Here is a 22172-nt window from a genome sequence, read left to right on the forward strand (position 1 = left end):
TAAAGATATTTGAAAGAGATTTCAGAAAGGAGAATCAAAGAGAGTCCCCAAAAGATAAATAAATCCATATACAGAATTATGAAACTACAGAACATCAAAGATATAGTGAAAATATTAACAAACAACCTAATGGTGAATCATGGAGTACATGACTCACCATTTCCTCTATCCAGGAAAAAGGGGAGTTATGGCCAAACAGGGAAACATCACTGTTTATTGAAGAAGAAAATTTGGGCATCAGATTTATCATTAACAATAACAGATGCCAGAAGAAAATAAATATCTTCAAACTGATGAAGAGAAATAACAGAAAATCTAGAATTTTATACCCAGCTAAATGAAACTAAAGAATGCAAACAAAATAGACACATTCACAATTTAGGGTTTATCACTTGCAGACTTAGCTCAAAGAAACACTTAGGGAGCATCCCTCAAGAAAAGAGAAATTAACTCAGAAAGATAAAGGGGGATGGATTCGAGAAGTAACTAACAATGAAAGAAAGTGGCAAATGTAGGTAAATCTAAGCAATTATGATAGGATCCTAAGTAAAACTTCCCCTGGGACCTCATTACTGCAACTAAGGAGAAAAAGCCTCCAAAATGGTGCTTAACACCACCCTACACACATTATAATGGAGCCACTGGTATTAGGATACAGCTTATCCTCAAACAAGTGGCCACACACCCACTTAGAACTACCAGTTCCCATATTTACCCCTACTTGGTATTTTAATAGTCCTGGAAAGAGGAAAAGGATTTTTCATCAGCCTTGTAGAAAGTACAATGCACATGAAAGAGTTCTTTTCTCCCTTTCATTTTGAAACAAGGAAAGAGAGTCTTTCTTTTCCTCTAAGGCATGGGACCAGGGTAAAGTTCTGAGAAGTTTCTCATAAAGATTAATAGTTAAGTCAGGCAAGAATGGGGAAAATTTTTAAACTTTTTTAAGTTCAGGGGTACATGTGCAGGTTTGTCATATAGGTAAAGTTGCATCATGGGGGTTTGTTGTACAGATTTCATCACCTGGATATTATGCCTAATACCCATTAGTTATTTTTCCTGATTCTGTCCCTCCCACCCTCCACCCTCCAATAGGCCCCAGTGTGTGTTGTTCCCCTTTATGTATTTATGCGTTCTTGTCATTTAGCTCCCACTTATAAGTGAGAAACTGCAGTATTTGATTTTCTGTTCCTGTGTTAGTTTGCTAAGGATAATGGCCTCTAGCTCCATCCATGTTACTGCAAGAGACATGATCGCATTGCTTTTTATGGCTGCATAGTATTCCATGGTGTTTATGTACCACATTTTCTTTTCCAGCCTATCATTAATGGACATTTAGGTTGATTCCACAACTTTGCTATTGTGAATAGTGTTGCAATGAACAGATGCATGCATGTGTCTTTATAGTAGAATGATTTATAAGAATGGGGAAATTTGAATTTCATTCACTTGGGGACTTCAACTTGGCCAGTAGACCTGCTGATTCTCCCAATACTGAGTAGAGGAAAAGAGAGTTGGAGAGAGTGAAAGAGCAGTCTGCAGGGTGGAGAAGGAGACCATTAATACCATATAAGTACCCTAGAAGTTACAGAAGTGGTAGCAATTCTCAAATCTGGCCTTGTGGGACTGAATGGGTAGAACACTAGAGACACATCCAGTCTCTGAGTGCATATAAATTGAAATGGTATTTAAAGCCAGCCAATCAATAAAAAGACCAGAACTTCATCCAGATGGGCTGAGGCTCACTGCACTTTCCCATTCCCTTTTCTTCTACCCCATCCTATCAGAGGTGCGACCAAAAGGAAAATGTTATATCTCTTCCTTACTCCCTCTACTTAAGCTACTAGTGCATCAGACAGTGCTACAAAGAAGGCTCAAATAGCTCTCAAAAAACATTAAATAGCGAATGTTTATTTAGAAATGCATAGGAATGCTATTATTTTAACACCCCTATTCAGATGACTATGAAATTAGATGGATTCATTATTAAGAGGAACAAAGAAAATAGAATTCATAAGAGAAGAAAAAATGGGGGAAAGGCAAAAATAAGAAACTTGGTAAAATGGAAAAGGCATAATAATATGGTATAGATAAATCTTAATATATGTGTTAGATATTTGAATGAGTCTCTCAGGTTTAATTTAAAAACATTTAAATCCAGCTATATGTGCCATATAAGAGATATATTTGAAATTTAAAGACATGAGTATAAAGAAAAAATATACTAAGTAGAAAAGAAGTCTGTTTTAGCTATACTGAAAATAAACTTCAAGGTAATAAAGAGAATCATTATGTAATCATAAAAGACAATTTCTTCACCAGAAAGTTTTGACACTTTTGATCTTAATGCACCTAGCAACTTAACCACATAAGAAGTGAAGCGGATATCAATGGACATACTATAAAATATTGATAAATCAACAGTGGAGGTAGAAGTATTTTATCCCACTCTCAAAAATAATCAGGAGTGTAAAAAATTAAAGAGTTTTTAACAAAACAATTTAAAATGTTAATAAAAATTTAAAATTAGATATCCAAATGCAAAAAAGGAAGTTACCTAAGAACTAGTGAAAAAATGAACAAATTCCTACATAAAAACTGAGAGTAAGGAAAGCTTCTTGAACTGTGACTCAAAATTCAAAAGTAAATTATATAAAAATTAAAAATAAAAACTTTCACTAGCCAATTAAAAAACTGCAAAATCAGCTATTTTCAACTTACGCCACAAAGCGTTAATATTCCTACTATACAAAGAGCTTCTAAACATTGAGAAGAAAAACACCAACAAACCAACAGAAAAAATGTGCATAGGCTATGAACAAAATGTGAATGACCCTTCATCATAGAAGCGTTTTTAACATTTTTTTCTATATTTTACTTTAATTGAAAATGTGTGCATTCTCTACAAGTAAAAACCAGAAAACAAGTTACCTAACAATTGGCATGCCATATTTAAAACCAAATGAATCCAAGTGAATATTAAACAGAGTATTTTGACCCTATATGGCTAGTGGCACATGTAGACTGATAAATCATCCAGGTTTTACGTAGGACTGAGGAGTTTCCTAAGACACAGGACTTTTAATGCTATAACCAGGAAAGTTCCAGGTAAACCAAAACAAGCTGATCACCCTAATTCTAAGAGAAATAATAAATGCAAGGAAATCTTAAACTTTGAATATGGTAGTTATATACTACTTTGGAGTTACTGTAAATATATGGCAAGATAAAGTAATATGTTAATGTTGTTATTTAACAGTAATGACAGTTCTAGAGCCAGGCAACACTCCATTTCATTAAATAGAATAAGTGTTCCAATGAGCTGAGCAGAAGGGATTGGTTTCATAGACAGAAAAGGGCTGAAGAAGGCGGACACAAAGACCAAAAGGTAGATTTAAATAAATAAATACAACATAACAATGTTTATTTAACACTGTTGTTTATTTCACAATGTTGTTATTATTAAATAAAAATTATCAGAGCCCATTGTTTTGGATTGAGCTCCTGCACTAGGCCCCAAGAGATCAGAATAAAACCAAAATGAAGTCACTTATACTAAAGTTTCATTTCACCAAACCAAAAGTAAGTTGTTATCTGACCTTCTGGGAAATCAGAAGAGAGAAATAATAGACAAATTTCTCAAACAGGCCAGTGTCAGTCGACATAATAATAAACTTTCCTCTGTGCTAATCCACACCAAGAAAAATAAAATTATCTTGAAGTAAGCTGATGTTAACTAATCAGTTATTTTTCTATTATTCTGTTTCCCTGTGTCTGCCTTACAAAGAAAATAACTTTAAAATGACCAATCTACCTTTTGCTCTTTGTGTCTACTTTCTTCAGCACCTCTTCTGTCTATAAAACCAATCCCCTCTCCTCAGCTCATTGGAACACTTATTCTATGTAATGAAATGAAGTGTTACCTGACTCTAGAGCTGCAAATAGAGCAAATTAATTTCTTTAAATTGTTATAACTTCATCTTTTGACATTATGAACCAAGATTTCAGCATAAGAGAAAAGCATCAGTAATATAAGTAAAAAATAAGGAACAAGTAAATATGCTTCCCGAGTACCCTCAGAAAAATGAACAGAGCAACTAGGAATACAAAACCAAAAATGCACAGGCAACATTTACAATAAGATTAAGTGACAAAGCATTCCCACAGTCCACAAAATAGAAGAATATGTGAACAAAACATGCTATCAGCATCCATGTAGAAGATAACAGAGGAAAGCAATGAGCTATATCTGCTGGACCTGAAAATGAGAAAACATCTGAACTGTTAATACTGTTAATAGAGAACCCTTAAACTGTCAATAAACTGTCAATGGAGAATCCCTAAACTGACAAAAGACTGTCAACAGAGAATACCTAAATTGTCAATAGGTATTTATTGTGAAGTGTGAGAGGCCAAAATAAAATTGGAAGGGTTTTGAACACTCACAGGTAATTATTAGGTGTGGCTCTGAAGGATCAGGCACTCTGGGAAAATGGGCTCATGTAACTAAACAAATAAGGCCCCCTTTGAGGGGGGGAAAAAAAAAACCCTAGGAGAAACTGGTAGGAATTGTCTCCAAAGTAAGCAAGTCAGAATAAATAAAAGTAAAAGTTAAGGGAAACTTAAAGTAGGAGAGGAGGAAGGAGGTAGAATATCTCAGAAAAGAGAGTCATATTTACTGAGCTTTTAATTTATAAACATCTGACAAAGATAAAACAAGTACAAGTTTTAGATCTGTGAAGCTAACAAAGGTAACCTGACCCACCTGGCCTCCTAAAAGGTCAGTAAATCCAATAGTACACAAAAATAAGCAATGAACGGAACTGTGTCAAATGCAAAAAATAAAATAAATAATGAGTAGAATGTCCCTACAGATATTAAAAGTATTCCAGAAATATATAGCCATTAAACAGATGAAAACTATAACTATTTCAAACAAGCAAAAAGAAATTTTAAAATGTAATTTTAAAAATTAACCAACATAACAAGTTAGGATTAGAAAACTTAGATATAAGGTAAGAACTATGAATTAGAAATAAAATAAAAAAGTATTTCAGAAATGAAGCCTGAACTAGAATTCACACATGAGGAAGCAGAGACAACACACAATACTTTAAAACAAGTAGAAAATAAAAATGATAGAAATTTAGAATTAAAAAAAGGTTAAGAAGTAGTTGAGAGAGTGGCAAACATCGTTGACATGTATAAAGGGGCTCCTAAAGAGGAAACCTAAGAATGATACAGAACAAATATTCAAATTAAGAAAAATTTACCAAAAAAGATTTTTTAAAAAAGATTATTGAAAGGGCACAATGGGTATCTGGAAAAAAACAGATGACCCACTAAAACATTATCTAATAAAATTACTGGACTTTAAAGATCAAGAAAAAATTCCTTGAGCCTTAAGGCAATGAAACCAAGATGCTTATTAGGGAAAGAAAATGAGATAGGCAAAAGCGTTTAGTTGTTAATTTTTAATAACATTTTATGCTAGCTTTGGATGAAGTAACTGGAGACACTGGCATAAGGACCAGCGTGTCCCCTGGGAGGCTACAGTTGGCCTGGTAAGGCCAACTGCAGAGATGCTAGTAAAGTCTCTTCCTCAGAAGAAAAAGCTCCAAATCCCTGGGGTTCCTATTCTAAAATCTTAAGTTCCTATACCCTTGTCTCTTCCCTTTTGTTTGTTTCCTGGGTCAACTGTAATTATCTGGGAAAACTCAATATCTTCTAAAATACAATATACATAAAATTCTCAGCTTTAAAAAAGACTTCTTTTTTTTTTTTTTTTTTTTTTGAGACAGACTCTTGCTCTGTCACCAAAGCTGGAGTGCAGGGGTGCTATCTTGGCTCACTGCAACCTCCACCTCCCAGGTTCAAGCGATTCCCCTGCCTCAGCCTAGCCTCCCAAGTAGTTGGGACTACAGGCATGTGCCACCACAACCGGCTAATTTTTTGTATTTTAGTAGAGATGGGGTTTCACCATGTTGGCCAGGATGGTCTCAATCTCCTGACCTTGTGATCCGCCTGCCTTGGCCTCCCAAAGTGCTGGGATTACAGGCATGAGCCACCGCACCCGACCAAAAAAGACATTTTTAAAATTAGAAATATCAATATAAATGCATTATTTTTCCTTCAAAAATTGAGTTTTGTTGCTCTGTTCATTGAAAACATCAAGAAGGAATGATGTGCCAGTAGCAATGAACTTAGCCATCACCCAAGACCCTAAATTTCATTTTCCACTACAAAGAACCAAAGCTTCTTGGAAAAATTCCTTATTCTAGGTCTTGCAAAGAAAGTGTACAAAATGAGCTGGAGATATCTTAGTAGGCTACCAAGCAAGGAAGCTATCAAAGAGTAACGAGATTATAGGGGCCAACATAGAGGAGTATTCACCAGTCAAAAGCTGGCACAATTTGAGCAAAGGCAGAATAGACATATTGAAGGAAATTAAATACTTTTTTAGAAATCCATGCATTTAGAGTAATATTAAAAATTCGTTAAATTGTAATAACACTGAAAAATGTTTTAAAACACACACACTGGTCATTGCTATGGTCTGAATGTGTGTGTGTCTCACCAGATTTCAATGTGATAGTATTAAGAGGTGGAGCCTTTGGGAAGTGATGATGTCATCAGGGTTCCATGCTTATGAATTGGATTAGTGCTCTCATGAAAGAGGCTCAAGGGAGCTCCTATCCTCTTTTGTTCTTTCCACCTGGTGAAGATGCAGGCAGCAAGCCATTATTTATGAAGCAGAGAGTAAGCACCCAACAGATACTGAATCTTCCAGTATCTTAACCTTGGATTTCTTAGCTTCCAGAACCATGATTAATATGTTTCTGTTGTTTATAAACTACCAGTCTAAAGTATTTCATTATAGCTGCCCAAGTGGACTAAAACAGTTATCACAGGAGTTCACTAGAGCACCAAATCACTATGAAAATGATAAAATAAATCAAAGACATGCCTTTCTGTACAAATTATATTTCACATAATTGGTGATAGAATGTTCTTTAAAATGCACAAAGAATTGTAGACTTAGAAAATCACTATTTTGAAACCCATAATGAAATAAATAATGGATATAGACAATGATTGTCATAAATATTAAAACTATCATGTGAAATGATGATTGGTAAATTGATAATGGATGAATGAGCCAAGACAACCTGAACCCAATAATTCATCTTGGCATTACTGAAAGGGGAAGAGACAGATCTTCTGTGCCTTGTTTTGTAACACAGCAGGAATGGAGGGCTCTTATCTAAACAAAAACTGAATGTGAATAAAATGATTCTCTAGATCATACTACCAACTTACAGGGAATATAGAAGATAAACAAGTTAAAGAACATTGGAAGAAAATGCTCACTAGAATCCAGAATACAGTATTCCTATGTGAAGTGCTTTCTAGAACAAATCAAAGAAATGAAAAAAAAAGTGAGAGGGGATGATGGTTATAGAATGAGAGAGACTTAAAAAGGAATCAAATGCAAGATGTGGATCTTGTTTGAATTCAAATATTCATATATATTAATATATTAATACCTAAAGGACACATTTAGACAATTGGAGAGTTTTTATTAATTCAAATATATTAATACCTAAAAGACATATTTAGACACTTGGGGAGTTTTTCTACCTCTACCCATGGGCTAAAAGTTTAAATACCTTTTTTTCCTTAAGAAGAATAACAGAGCACTCCCCCAAGTGTGGCAGAGGCTAGAATTTTAAAATTTCTCACAGACACACACCAAAAATCATCATCCTAATAGATTCCAATTATTTGTGGCTAACCAAAATCTTTGAATTTTAAAACTTCTCACAGATACACACCAAAAATCATCATCCTCATAGAGTCTAATTATATGTGGCTAACCAACATCTTTGAAAAACCTTTTTACATTGCATTAATTTCTCACATTTAAAGTTCCTCCTTTACAAGGTAGAAAAAGAAAATTCATATCTCTGGACTCCCAGTAGTGAGGATTCCAACAATGAGATATTTTGACTCTCGGAAGGAGAGAAGGGAAGAAGTCACTGTGAGAGAAGGATAAATATTCTGGCAAACATGATAGCAGAGGCCCCAGGAGAAGAGACAGAGGTGGAGCTTCTGGCATCCAGTTTTGAGGATCACAGTGACATCCTATAGTGGATTGGCCGTTATACCAGGCTGGGAGCTCCAGATTCCAGCTTTCTGGGGCTCTTTCATATTCTTTTCTGCTTGAAGTGTATAGGTTATTAATATTGTTTGCAACCAAGGCCCTTGAGTGTCAGTCACCCAGAGCCTCTTTGCTGTTTCCCTAGGCCAGTGGGTGAAGTACTTTTGTTTCCTGTGCAATGAACTGATTTTTCAAACAAAACAATGCAATTGAAAAAAGAAAGAAAGAAAGAAAGGGCCAGGCACAGTGGCTCTTGATTGTAATCCCAGCACTGTCGGAGGCCAAGGTGGACACATCACTTGAGCTCAGGAGTTTGAGAGCAGCCTGGCCAAGACGATGAAACCCCACCTCCACAGAAAATACAAAAATTAGCTGGGTGTGGTGGTGTGCACCTGTAGTTCCAGCTACTCGGGAGGCTAAGGTGGGAGGACTGCTTGAGTCTGGGAGGTGGAGGTTGCAGTGAGCAGAGAATGCACCACTGCACTCCAGCCTGGGTGACAGAGAAAGACCCTGTCTCAAAAAAAAAGAAAAAAGAAAAAAGAAAAAAATGTGTTTTTCTTTTACTTAATGGTTTAGGACTTTAGATGACTCAGATTTAGGCAACTGTCTCAGTTCTTGTTCCAGACTTCATCTTGGCCCAAAGCTCAGTATCCCATCCCCATGTGGGCATATTAGTCCATTTTTATACTGCTGTAAAGAACTGCCTGAGACTGGGTAATTTATAAGGAAAGAGATTTAATTGACCCACAGTTCCACATGGCTGGGGAGGCCTCGGGAAACTTAATCACGGCAGAAGGCGAAGGAGAAGCAAGGTGGCAGGAGAGAGAGAGAGGGCAGGGGAAACTGCCACTTTTTTAAATTATTTATTTATTTATTTATTTTTATTATACTTTAAGTTTTAGGGTACATGTGCACATTGTGCAGGTTAGTTACATATGTATACATGTGCCATGCTGGTGCGCTGCACCCACTAACTCGTCATCTAGCATTAGGTATATCTCCCAATGCTATCCCTCCCCCCTCCCCCCACCCCACCACAGTCCCCAGAGTGTGATATTCCCCTTCCTGTGTCCATGTGATCTCATTGTTCAATTCCCACCTATGAGTGAGAATATGCGGTGTTTGGTTTTTTGTTCTTGCGATAGTTTACTGAGAATGATGATTTCCAATTTCATCCATGTCCCTACAAAGGACATGAACTCATCATTTTTTATGGCTGCATAGTATTCCATGGTGTATATGTGCCACATTTTCTTAATCCAGTCTATCATTGTTGGACATTTGGGTTGGTTCCAAGTCTTTGCTGTTGTGAATAATGCCGCAATAAACATACGTGTGCATGTGTCTTTATCGCAGCATGATTTATAGTCCTTTGGGTATATACCCAGTAATGGGATGGCTGGGTCAAATGGTATTTCTAGTTCTAGATCCCTGAGGAGTCGCCACACTGACTTCCACAACGGTTGAACTAGTTTACAGTCCCACCAACAGTGTAAAAGTGTTCCTATTTCTCCACATCCTCTCCAGCACCTGTTGTTTCCTGACTTTTTAATGATTGCCATTCTAACTGGTGTGAGATGGTATCTCATTGTGGTTTTGATTTGCATTTCTCTGATGGCCAGTGATGATGAGCATTTTTTCATGTGTTTTTTGGCTGCATACATGTCTTCTTTTGAGAAGTGTCTGTTCATGTCCTTCGCCCACTTTTTGATGGGGTTGTTTGTTTTTTTCTTGTAAATTTGTTTGAGTTCATTGTAGATTCTGGATATTAGCCCTTTGTCAGATGAGTAGGTTGCGAAAATTTTCTCCCATTCTGTAGGTTGCCTGTTCACTCTGATGGTAGTTTCTTTTGCTGTGCAGAAGCTCTTTAGTTTAATTAGATCCCATTTGTCAATTTTGTCTTTTGTTGTCATTGCTTTTGGTGTTTTGGACATGAAGTCCTTGCCCATGCCTATGTCCTGAATGGTGATGCCTAGGTTTTCTTCTAGGGTTTTTACGGTTTTAGGTCTAATGTTTAAGTCTTTAATTCATCTTGAATTGATTTTTGTATAAGGTGTAAGGAAGGGATCCAGTTTCAGCTTTCTACATATGGCTAGCCAGTTTTCCCAGCACCATTTATTAAATAGGGAATCCTTTCCCCATTGCTTGTTTTTCTCAGGTTTGTCAAAGATCAGATAGTTGTAGATAAGCGGCGTTATTTCTGAGGGCTCTGTTCTGTTCCATTGATCTATATCTCTGTTTTGGTACCAGTACCATGCTGTTTTGGTTACTGTAGCCTTGAAGTATAGTTTGAAGTCAGGTAGTGTGATGCCTCCAGCTTCGTTCTTTTGGCTTAGGATTGCCTTGGCAATGTGGGCTCTTTTTTGGTTCCATATGAACTTTAAAGTAGTTTTTTCCAATTCTGTGAAGAAAGGCATTGGTAGCTTTATGGGGATGGCATTGAATCTGTAAATAACCTTGGGCAGTATGGCCGTTTTCACGATATTGATTCTTCCTACCCATGAGCATAGAATGCTCTTCCATTTGTTTGTATCCTCTTTTATTTCCTTGAGCAGTGGTTTGTAGTTCTCCTTGAAGAGGTCCTTCACATCCTTTGTTAGTTGGATTCCTAGGTATTTTATTCTCTTTGAAGCAATTGTGAATGGGAGTTCACTCATGATTTGGCTGTTTGTCTGTTGTTGGTGTATAAGAATGCTTGTGACTTTTGTACATTGATTTTGTATCCTGAGACTTTGCTGAAGTTGCTTATCACCTTAAGGAGATTTTGGGCTGAGACAATGGGGTTTTCTAGATATACAATCATGCCATCTGCAAACAGGGACAATTTGACTTCCTCTTTTCCTAATTGAATACCCTTTATTTCCTTCTCCTGCCTAATTGCCCTGGCCAGAACTTCCAACACTATGTTGAATAGGAGTGGTGAGAGAGGGCATCCCTGTCTTGTGCCAGTTTTCAAAGGGAATGCTTCTAGTTTTTGCCCATTTAGTATGATATTGGCTGTGGGTTTGTCATAGATAGCTCTTATTATTTTGAAATATGTCCCATCAATACCTAATTTATTGAGAGTTTTTAGCATGAAGAGTTGTTGAATTTTGTCAAAGGCCTTTTCTGCATCTATTGAGATAATCATGTGGTTTTTGTCTTTGGCTCTGTTTATATGCTGGATTACATTTATTGATTTGTGTATATTGAACCAGCCTTGCATCCCAGGGATGAAGCCCACTTGATCATGGTGGATAAGCTTTTTGATGTGCTGCTGGATTCGTTTTGCCAGTATTTTATTGAGGATTTTTGCATCAATGTTCATCAAGGATATTGGTCTAAAATTCTCTTTTTTGGTTGTGTCTCTGCCCGGCTTTGGTATCAGAATGATGCTGGCCTCATAAAATGAGTTAGGGAGGATTCCCTCTTTTTCTATTGATTGGAATAGTTTCAGAAGGAATGGTACCAGTTCCTCCTTGTACCTCTGGTAGAATTCAGCTGTGAATCCATCTGGTCCTGGACTCTTTTTGGTTGGTAAACTATTGATTATTGCCACAATTTCAGCTCCTGTTATTGGTCTATTCAGAGATTCAACTTCTTCCTGGTTTAGTCTTGGGAGAGTGTATGTGTCGAGGAATTTATCCATTTCTTCTAGATTTTCTAGTTTATTTGCATAGAGGTGTTTGTAGTATTCTCTGATGGTAGTTTGTATTTCTGTGGGATTGGTGGTGATATCCCCTTTATCATTTTTTATTGTGTCTATTTGATTCTTCTCTCTTTTTTTCTTTATTAGTCTTGCTAGTGGTCTATCAGTTTTGTTGATCCTTTCAAAAAACCAGCTCCTGGATTCATTAATTTTTTGAAGGGTTTTTTGTGTCTCTATTTCCTTCAGTTCTGCTCTGATTTTAGTTATTTCTTGCCTTCTGCTAGCTTTTGAATGTGTTTGCTCTTGCTTTTCTAGTTCTTTTAATTGTGATGTTAGGGTGTCAATTTTGGATCTTTCCTGCTTTCTCTTGTGGGCATTTAGTGCTATAAATTTCCCTCTACACACTGCTTTGAATGCATCCCAGAGATTCTGGTATGTTGTGTCTTTGTTCTCGTTGGTTTCAAAGAACATCTTTATTTCTGCCTTCATTTCGTTATGTATCCAGTAGTCATTCAGGAGCAGGTTGTTCAGTTTCCATGTAGTTGAGCGGTTTTGAGTGAGATTCTTAATTTTGAGTTCTAGTTTGATTGCACTGTGGTCTGAGAGATAGTTTGTTATAATCTCTGTTCTTTTACATTTGCTGAGGAGAGCTTTACTTCCAAGTATGTGGTCAATTTTGGAATAGGTGTGGTGTGGTGCTGAAAAAAATGTATATTCTGTTGATTTGGGGTGGAGAGTTCTGTAGATGTCTATTAAGTCCGCTTGGTGCAGAACTGAGTTCAATTCCTGGGTATCCTTGTTGACTTTCTGTCTCGTTGATCTGTCTAATGTTGACAGTGGGGTGTTAAAGTCTCCCATTATTAATGTGTGGGAGTCTAAGTCTCTTTGTAGGTCACTCAGGACTTGCTTTATGAATCTGGGTGCTCCTGTATTGGGTGCATATATATTTAGGATAGTTAGCTCTTCCTGTTGAATTGATCCCTTTACCATTATGTAATGGCCTTCTTTGTCTCTTTTGATCTTTGTTGGTTTAAAGTCTGTTTTATCAGAGACTAGGATTGCAACCCCTGCCTTTTTTTGTTTTCCATTGGCTTGGTAGATCTTCCTCCATCCTTTTATTTTGAGCCTATGTGTGTCTCTGCACATGAGATGGGTTTCCTGAATACAGCACTCTGATGGGTCTTGACTCTTTATCCAATTTGCCAGTCTGTGTCTTTTAATTGGAGCATTTAGTCCATTTACATTTAAAGTTAATATTGTTATGTGTGAATTTGATCCTGTCATTATGATGTTAGCTGGTTATTTTGCTCGTTAGTTGATGCAGTTTCTTCCTAGTCTCGATGGTCTTTACATTTTGGCATGATTTTGCAGTGGCTGGTACCGGTTGTTCCTTTCCATGTTTAGCGCTTCCTTCAGGAGCTCTTTTAGGGCATGCCTGGTTGTGACAAAATCTCTCAGCATTTGCTTGTCTGTAAAGTATTTTATTTCTCCTTCACTTATGAAGCTTAGTTTGGCTGGATATGAAATTCTGGGTTGAAAATTCTTTTCTTTAAGAATGTTGAATATTGGCCCCCACTCTCTTCTGGCTTGTAGGGTTTCTGCCGAGAGATCCGCTGTTAGTCTGATGGGCTTCCCTTTGAGGGTAACCCGACCTTTCTCTCTGGCTGCCCTTAACATTTTTTCCTTCATTTCAACTTTGGTGAATCTGACAATTATGTGTCTTGGAGTTGCTCTTCTCGAGGAGTATCTTTGTGGCGTTCTCTGTATTTCCTGAATCTGAACGTTGGCCTGCCTTGCTAGATTGGGGAAGTTCTCTGGGATAATATCCTGCAGAGTGTTTTCCAACTTGGTTCCATTCTCCCCATCACTTTCAGGTACACCAATCAGACGTTGATTTGGTCTTTTCACATAGTCCCATATTTCTTGGAGGCTTTGCTCATTTCTTTTTATTCTTCTTTCTCTAAACTTCCCTTCTCACTTCATTTAATTCATCTCATCTTCCATTGCTGATACCCTTTCTTCCAGTTAATCGCATCGGCTCCTGAGGCTTCTGCATTCTTCACGTAGTTCTCGAGCCTTGGTTTTCAGCTCCATCAGCTCCTTTAAGCACTTCTCTGTATTGGTTATTCTAGTTATACATTCTTCTAAATTTTTTTCAAAGTTTTCAACTTCTTTGCCTTTGGTTTGAATGTCCTCCCGTAGCTCAGAGTAATTTGATCGTCTGAAGCCTTCTTCTCTCAGCTCGTCAAAGTCATTCTCCATCCAGCTTTGTTCCGTTGCTGGTGAGGAACTGTGTTCCTTTGGAGGAGGAGAGGCGCTCTGCGTTTTAGAGATTCCCGTTTTTCTGTTCTGTTTTTCCCCATCTTTGTGGTTTTATCTACTTTTGGTCTTTGATGATGGTGAGGTACAGATGGGTTTTTGGTGTGGATGTCCTTTCTGTTTGTTAGTTTTCCTTCTAACAGACAGGACCCTCAGCTGCAGGTCTGTTGGAATACCCTGCCGTGTGAGATGTCAGTGTGCCCCTGCTGGGGGGTGCCTCCCAGTTGGGCTGCTCGGGGGTCAGGGGTCAGGGACCCACTTGAGGAGGCAGTCTGCCCGTTCTCAGATCTCCAGCTGCGTGCTGGGAGAACCACTGCTCCTTCAAAGCTGTCAGACAGGGACATTTAAGTCTGCAGAGGTTACTGCTGTCTTTTTGTTTGTCTGTGCCCTGCCCCCAGAGGTGGAGCCTATAGAGGCAGGCAGGCCTCCTTGAGCTGTGGTGGGCTCCACCCAGTTGGAGCTTCCCGGCTGCTTTGTTTACCTAAGCAAGCCTGGGCAATGGCGGGCGCCCCTCCCCCAGCCTCGCTGCCGCCTTGCAGTTTGATCTCAGACTGCTGTGCTAGCAATCAGCGAGATTCCGTGGGCGTAGGACCCTCTGAGCCAGGTGCCGGATATAATCTCGTGGTGCGCCGTTTTTTAAGCCGTTCCGAAAAGCGCAATATTCGCGTGGGAGTGACCCGATTTTCCAGGTGAGTCCATCACCCCTTTCTTTGACTCAGAAAGGGAACTCCCTGACCCCTTGCACTTCCCGAGTGAGGCAATGCCTCACCCTGCTTCGGCTCGCGCACGGTGCGCGCACCCACTGACCTGCGCCCACTGTCTGGCACTCCCTAGTGAGATGAACCCGGTACCTCAGATGGAAAGGCAGAAATCACCCGTCTTCTGCGTCGTCACGCTGGGAGCTGTAGACCGGAGCTGTTCCTATTCGGCCATCTTGGCTCCTCCCCGGAAACTGCAACTTTTAAACTGTCAGATCTTGTGAGAATTCCCTCACTATCATGAGAACAGCATGGGAAAAACCACCCCCATGATCCAGTCACCTCCCACCAGGTCCCTCCCTCAGCATGTGGGGAATTACAATTTGAGATGAGATTTGGGTTGGGACACAGAGCCAAACCATATCAGTGGGCATTGACCCTACTCTGGAGCTTATGTTGATTTTGATATTTTATTACAGTGGCCAGCACTCTATGGCCCGCTGCCTATTTCTGTAAATAAAATTTTATTGCTACACTGCTACATTCATTCATATACATATTTTCTGTTACTTCTGGGCTATAATAGTTATAACATAGACCATATGGCCTCAAAAGCCTAAGGTATCTATCTGGCCCTTTACAGAAAATATTCACTAACTGCTCCTCTACTAGATCAGAATGGCATTGTTTGTGAGTTTCCACTTCATTTCTGGCACCTGGTGATTTTTCTTCTTGTGTCAAGTTTGAGAGAGAGAGAGAAAGAAAGAAACATAAAAAAGAGAGATTTTAATTTTGGCTTTATTCCTTTGTGGGGAGCAGTCCTCACCAGCTCATTCCACCACAGAGTTAAGAGTTCCTGGTATAATATGCAGAAATCTGAAATGCAATAGGAAAAAAATTACATGATGTCTTAGAAAAGAGGGAGGGATACAGGAATAACAAGAGCTATAATGCAATCTATAATTTATCAGCATGTACATACAGATACCTTGCTTTATCAGCAAAAACAATCTCTTGATGTGTCCCTCTTCTCATATATCTTAAAGCTATTTTCTCCTTTCTTTGCAAAATTGTTTCCAATTCTCTTTCGATTCATTAAGTATCCATTAATCAAGAATCACAAATTAAGGGTTAGGGTGAAAAAAAGAGATAAATTATTGTCCAGCCCTACTTCTGGATGCATATTCATTCATTTGTCAACACTTTGATCAATATAAAGGCAGCATAGCATATAGAGTTTCATCAGAACAGGGTGAGGTGAATGGAGAGTGCAAGTTCATGCAGCTCTTGTGTTTAATTGCTTTGTAAACATGAAGAATTTACATAAACTCTCCAGCCTCAATTTTCTACCTGTAAAAAGGGATTAATAATAGTAACTACTGTGAAAGTGAAATTGATTCATGTAAAGCATTTAGCTTAGTGTCTGTTACACAGCAATAGTTTGATGAATACCAGCTATTATCATCATCATCATCATCATCATCATTGGTAACCATGGTAATGGAAAAGAAAACGCTGACTAATAGACATGAATTTTATCCTGTAATGCTAGATGTTAAAAAAAAAGAAGAAGAAGAAAAAGAAAAGTTACTTTCTCCTTTCTCCTAAATCAAATGTTATATGTTTAGAAACCATCCCAGTAGTGGGGGCCAGACATGGTGGCTCATGCCTGTAATCCAGCACTTTGGGAGGCCAACATAAGAGGCCTCTCAAATGTGAGGCCAGGAGTACAAGACCAGCCTTGTCGACACAGTAAGACCTCATCTCTAGAAAAAAAAATTTTTTTTTAATTAGCTGGGCATGGTGGTACACACTTGTAGTCCCAGCTACTCAAGAGGCTGAGGTGGGAGATTCCCTTGAGCCTGGGAAGTTGAGGCTGCAGTGAGCTATAATCATGCCAGTGCACTCCAGCCTAGGCAATAGAATGAGGCTCTGAAAAAAAAAAAAAAAAAGAAAAGAAAAGAAAGAGAATAAAGAATAAAGAAACCATCCCACATCCCACTAGGATGGCAGTAAGTTCTATCTTAGCTATTTTTGAGACTGGTCTTTCCCAATCTCACAAATGTTTGCATTTCCTGTGGTGCACACATGGTCCAGAATATCTGCAGAAAGCCCATCTTTTCTTATCCATTGTGCTTGAAGATGGGTGGCTGTATTACTTTCATGAAAATTTCCCTCACCTCCCCAGGATAAAAATTTTAGTGTTTTGTTCCCACTACCACCACCTCCATTCCTATTACAACCCCCACCTTCAGCTTCTCAGGGACTTTCACATGGAAGCTGGGTAACTGGAGGCTGGTCTCAGCTACTCCTGAGACCAATAAACCCATTTCTTCTTCCTAGTGTCTGGATATCCCAAATCTCCTGAAACACATTGGCTTCTAATGCCCTTCTGTCAGTTCAATTTCTCAGGATCCCACCTGTGATGGTTAATATTGAGTTTCAACTTGATTGGACTGAAGGATGCAAACTATTGTTCCTAGGTGGTCTGTGAGCTTGTTGCCAAAAGAGATTAACATTTGAGTCAGTTGACTGGGAAAGGCAGACCCACCCTCAATCTGGGTGTGCACCATCTAATCAGATGTCAGCACGGCCAGGTAGAAGCAGGCAGACAAACGTGGAAAGAATAGACTGGCTAAGTCTTCTGGCCTCCATCTTTCTACTGTGCTGGGTGCTTCCTACCCTCGAACATCAGACTAGAAGTTCTTCAGCTTTTGGACTCTTGGACTTACACCAGTGATTTGCCAGGGGCTTTCTGGCCTTTGGCCACGGATTGAAGGCTGCACTACTGGCTTCTCTACTTTTGATGTTTTGGGACTTGGACTGGCTTCCTGGTTCTGCAGCTTGCAGACGGCCTATCATGGGACTTCACCTCGTGATCGTGTGAGTCAATTCTCCTAATAAACTCTCCTTCATATATACATCTATCCCATTAGTTCTGTTTGTCTAGAGAACCCTGACTAATACACCACCCGAATGGCCTTTTAGAAACTCTGACCCTCTCATTCCAAGGGTTGCATGTGGGGAATGAGATACTGGAAGGAGGCTTTTGTTTTCTGACTATCCAGTTACACAATAAATTAAGTGAGCAAGTAATGAGACCATGATAACTGGACAGAGGGGAAATAAGAATGAAAGACAAAGGCCGGACGTGGTTGCTCACACCTATAATCCCAGCACTTTGGGAGGCCGAGGTGGGCAGATCACGAGGTCAAGAGCTCGAGACCATCCTGGCCAACATGGTGAAACCCCGTCTCTATTAAAAATACAAAAATTAGCTGTGCGTGGTCACTTGTGCCTGTAGTCCCATCTACTCAGGAAGCTGAGGCAGGATAATCACTTGAACCCAGGAGGCAGAGGTTGCAGTGAGCTGAGATCGTGCCATTGCACTCCAGCCTGGCGATAGAGTGAGACTCCATCTGAAAAAAAAAAAAAAGAATGAAAGACAAAACAGCAAACAGGAAGCCAGCAGAGTGCCTCTGTGGATGGCTTTGGCACATCCACCCCACATGCACACTTTGTAATCAATATTATGTTTTCTACTTGGGCAAATGTATATGGCACATGTGTCCCAAATATAAGTGATTACCCCACTGTTTGAAGTTCTGTATTCATCTTGCTGTTTGAACTCCAATCAATTTATTTTCTTACATCCTGCCTGGAAATGGTCTCTAGTACCGAGATAACTAAGAGTGTCAGAAGATCCTGGAGCAGTTTTGCAAAAGCCACAAAGACAATGAAGAGTGAAAATAGAACCTATGTGAACGTTAGATTATCATTTAGTGGATAAAATGTAAAGAGGAAACCTAATAATGTTTGCCAGGTAGATAAAAGTTCTTCTACTGAACACATTGGCCAACTGTTCTTTGTTTCCGTGAAGGCAGAAACAAAAGGAAGCAACTTAATCTGAAGCCTAGGGGATTTAAAGACAAAGAGAACTTGGTGATACTGAGGATTATTAAGCCTTATAATCTGCTTGGTGGGGATGCCATGGAGGTTTGGATTTACCAAAGCGCTCTTATGTCGAAGACGGGGAAGGAAAGTAATATTCCCTGATTGTCTCAACTGGTTGTTATGTTAATTCCAAGACCTACACTGTGTAGAGCTACATTATTTAGAAAATTACACTATTCCAATTAGAAATTTTAAAAATGCATAAACCATCATAAAAGTATTTCTATTACACCTTTTAAAATAATATTATGTTTAACTCTGAGCAGATAAAGGGCCAACTGCAAGGCTATATTTAAATAAATTAAATATGCAATATTGAATATGGTTCTGCCTGTTATGGGTTGAATTGTATCCTCCCCCAAAAAAGCTCACATGAAATCATAAACCCCAGTACCTCAAAATGTGAACTTACTTGGAAATAGGTCATTGCAGATGTCATTACTTGTATCAGGATGAGGCCAGATTGAAGTGGTGGGCCACTAATCCAATATGACTGGTGTCTTTATGAAAAGTGGAAATTTGGGGACAGATGCATACAGGGAAGACAATGTAAACACACAAGGAGAACTCCAGATGAAGATCAAAGCTAAGATTGGAGCGATCCTTCTAAAAGCCAGACCATCAAAGATTGCCAGCAAACCACAAGATGCTAGAGGAGAGGCATGGGATGGATTATTCTTCCCACTCCTCAGAAGGAACCAACCCTGCTACCATGTTGATCTCAGACTTCTAGCATCCAATATTGACACTAAAATTGACAACAAATGTTTGTGTTTAAGCCACCCAGTTTGTGGTATTTGTTATGACAGCCCTAGAAAACTAATATATTGCCTCTGGCCACAAATAGATTTTAGTCTAATGGGAAAGAAAAGCAAACAGTAAGTGTTATAAATGATGCAATGGATGAGGTGTGTAGCATTATTCCCACGTAGGCACAAATCTGTGGCTTGCTTGGTAAAAAGAGTCTTGGGACAGTGCTGTGATACCCAAGCTGCTCACCAAACCCTCCCTCTCTTCCTCCTAAGTCACTCATCACTGTCACACATCATAGCCAAACTTCCCACCCCTAAGAATTGTGCTCGGATGTCTGGCATCACTTGAATGCACCTGACCTTGTGTTCAGACATAGGCTACCCTACCCAGTTAATCAGACCTATTAGCATAAATCATGGTGCTGTTAATGTAGAGTAATGCAAAGGTATAATCTGCTTTAAGATCATAGACTATGCAACCTAATGATTAAAAATAGTGGTGCTGATTGAAAGTGGCAGTGAAAATCACAGTGAGTCAAGTTGTGCATGTGTGCATGTGTCTGTGTTTCTGTTTTTCACTGTCTGTCAAGCTCCCTAAAGCACAATTCTGCCAAAGCTCTTAGTATTTGAGTCAAAAATGATGTCAAAGTAAGTAGGAAAAAAATGAGAACATTGGCCTTGACTAACAGATTGGTTGATTAAAAAGTTAATTCAGTAATACAAGCTTTTATTCAATCTCTAGAATGTGCACTGAATATTTCTTTGACCTTTTATATTTCCCTTGGTGGTATATATTCAAGCCTCCGGCACCCAGTCAAAACTCCCCACCTATTACCTCTTATTCCCACTCCATAAAAAAGGGAAGCAAATACCCGTCTATGTTCAGTGTGAGGAACCTGCATACATGCTAATTATCTGCAACCACTCTCCAGCTCAACTTGATTCTTTTTATCTTTCTACATGTAAAATTTGTTTCTGTTTTCAAATTCAGCATCTTGAATTATTTCTGTCAAGCCTCGCCTCAGCAGAAAGTAGATCCTTGGGTGGTCAGAGTAAAGGAAGGGAAAAGAGCAAGAATTGGGGAAAATGTTGGCTTTGGTTGTTTAAAGACTGAGCTGATTATCTCATTACTCCAGTTTCCGGCCCACTGGCCTGTGGAATGAGCACTCCTGGGTCACTCTGGGTTCCGGGGCACTACTGTGCTCTGTGCTCCACCCTTTCAGCTGCTGAGTTCATTCCTACTCCTGAGACAGTCTTTGATCTACTGAGTTAAGTTCTCAGGTAGAGAGTATTTTAATTGTGCAGCATGCTACACTGTCTGTGTTTTTTTATCCTGTAACAATTAATTCATCAGCAAAGTCAAAGGAAAAGTTCTTTGATCCCAAAGGATAAAAACTTCCCTTTATCAATCAATCTTCATCTACTCTACTGTAATTATGGATTATTTACCCAGAGCTCATCTCCCTGGCAGCTATAGCTAAGACGTCCATTGCTAACAAATGAGATAACATACAAGGTGATTTGTCATTATTTCAGGTCATTAGTTCTTAAGTGTTTAAACCTATCTTTTCACAATTGCTCTTTTTGCTATAGTGCTGGGTCATGGAAGATTTGGGAATTTGGACTTTTTTAGGTGGGAAATAATTTGTTTGCTTAAAATTTCTAAACTACACACACACACACACACACACACACACACACACACACACACTCACAAAGGGACAAACGATAATGAGAAAACTATATCAGAAAGGTCAACTGTTGTCTGGTTAAGAAAGAATAAGGTACTAAACGGAGTCATTTTAATATAAGGAAATATAACTTTACACAAAAGTTAAATTCTGTTCCTCCACTGACATTTTACTGATACAGCTTCCTTTGTTACTATAAGCTTCTACTGTCAATCAGGCCAAATGGGGAGGGAGAAAAAATGCCTTGTGGCTGAGACCATTACCTCAATCATGAAGAATCGTGCAAGGAATGCATGCATCGTCTGTTTCCTCAGGTTCACGGCTAAGAAAATGTAACTGTGCTGCCCTCTAATGGTTGTCACCCCACAGGCTCAAGGTTGCCAGCATTGAGCTGATGAGCCACCATTGTCAGGGACATCACCAGATAGGAAATGCAGAAGACAGATTCTGAACCAAATGTGCATCATCTTTTCCAAAGGAATCACCATTGTTTCATCAGGACTAGAATTGGACTTTTTCAACATTTGTATTTGACTTGAGAAATTATGGAGCTCTCAGAAACCAATGCCATATGCTTTTTCATGAATAGATTATGGAGCAGGAAGGATCCTGCTTTAGATTGTAATACAAATATATTGTCCTTGAGAGCAAAGACGACATTTTTCAGGAAGCAAGCGAGACCCAAAGTGTGCAGCAGTGCCCTTTAGGTACACTGATGATCTACCACATGCGTATCTATCTATATCTGTAGCTATGTATCAATGCATGTATTTCTCTTTTAAAGCTGTAAATTCATTTACCTGAATATCTTAATCTGTTTTGGTAGTTTACCTTATGCCAGATTTTTTAGTGCAGTTTACATAATCAATTTCACCCTGTTAAAAGTTAAAACCAGAATCTTTGTCCAAGATTGACAGTTTGGGCTTCTAGATCTTCTACTTCCAGACCTAAGTTTTAATTGACTCCAAATTG

The 22172-nt window shown here is 38.8% G+C and overlaps 4 annotated features.

Moving 5' to 3' along the window:
- Positions 14235-15434: an enhancer, noted in NCBI's record as "BRD4-independent group 4 enhancer chr18:25322897-25324096 (GRCh37/hg19 assembly coordinates)". NCBI's record gives its function as "activates an origin of replication core promoter dependent on BRD2, P300/CBP, MED14 and CDK7 cofactors, and independent of BRD4, by STARR-seq in HCT116 cells {active_cell/tissue: HCT116}" and the evidence as "EXISTENCE:reporter gene assay evidence [ECO:0000049][PMID:35650434]".
- Positions 14235-15442: a biological region, named in NCBI's record as "BRD4-independent group 4 enhancer GRCh37_chr18:25322897-25324096".
- Positions 14787-15442: an enhancer, noted in NCBI's record as "H3K27ac-H3K4me1 hESC enhancer chr18:25323449-25324104 (GRCh37/hg19 assembly coordinates)". NCBI's record gives its function as "activates a minimal SCP1, AML or CMV promoter by ChIP-STARR-seq in primed H9 embryonic stem cells {active_cell/tissue: H9 hESC(primed)}" and the evidence as "EXISTENCE:reporter gene assay evidence [ECO:0000049][PMID:30033119]".
- Positions 21174-21749: an enhancer, noted in NCBI's record as "OCT4-NANOG hESC enhancer chr18:25329836-25330411 (GRCh37/hg19 assembly coordinates)". NCBI's record gives its function as "activates a minimal SCP1, AML or CMV promoter by ChIP-STARR-seq in primed H9 embryonic stem cells {active_cell/tissue: H9 hESC(primed)}" and the evidence as "EXISTENCE:reporter gene assay evidence [ECO:0000049][PMID:30033119]".

Source organism: Homo sapiens, chromosome 18 (genome assembly GCF_000001405.40).
Source record: "Homo sapiens chromosome 18, GRCh38.p14 Primary Assembly".
Taxonomy (NCBI): Eukaryota; Metazoa; Chordata; class Mammalia; order Primates; family Hominidae; genus Homo; species Homo sapiens.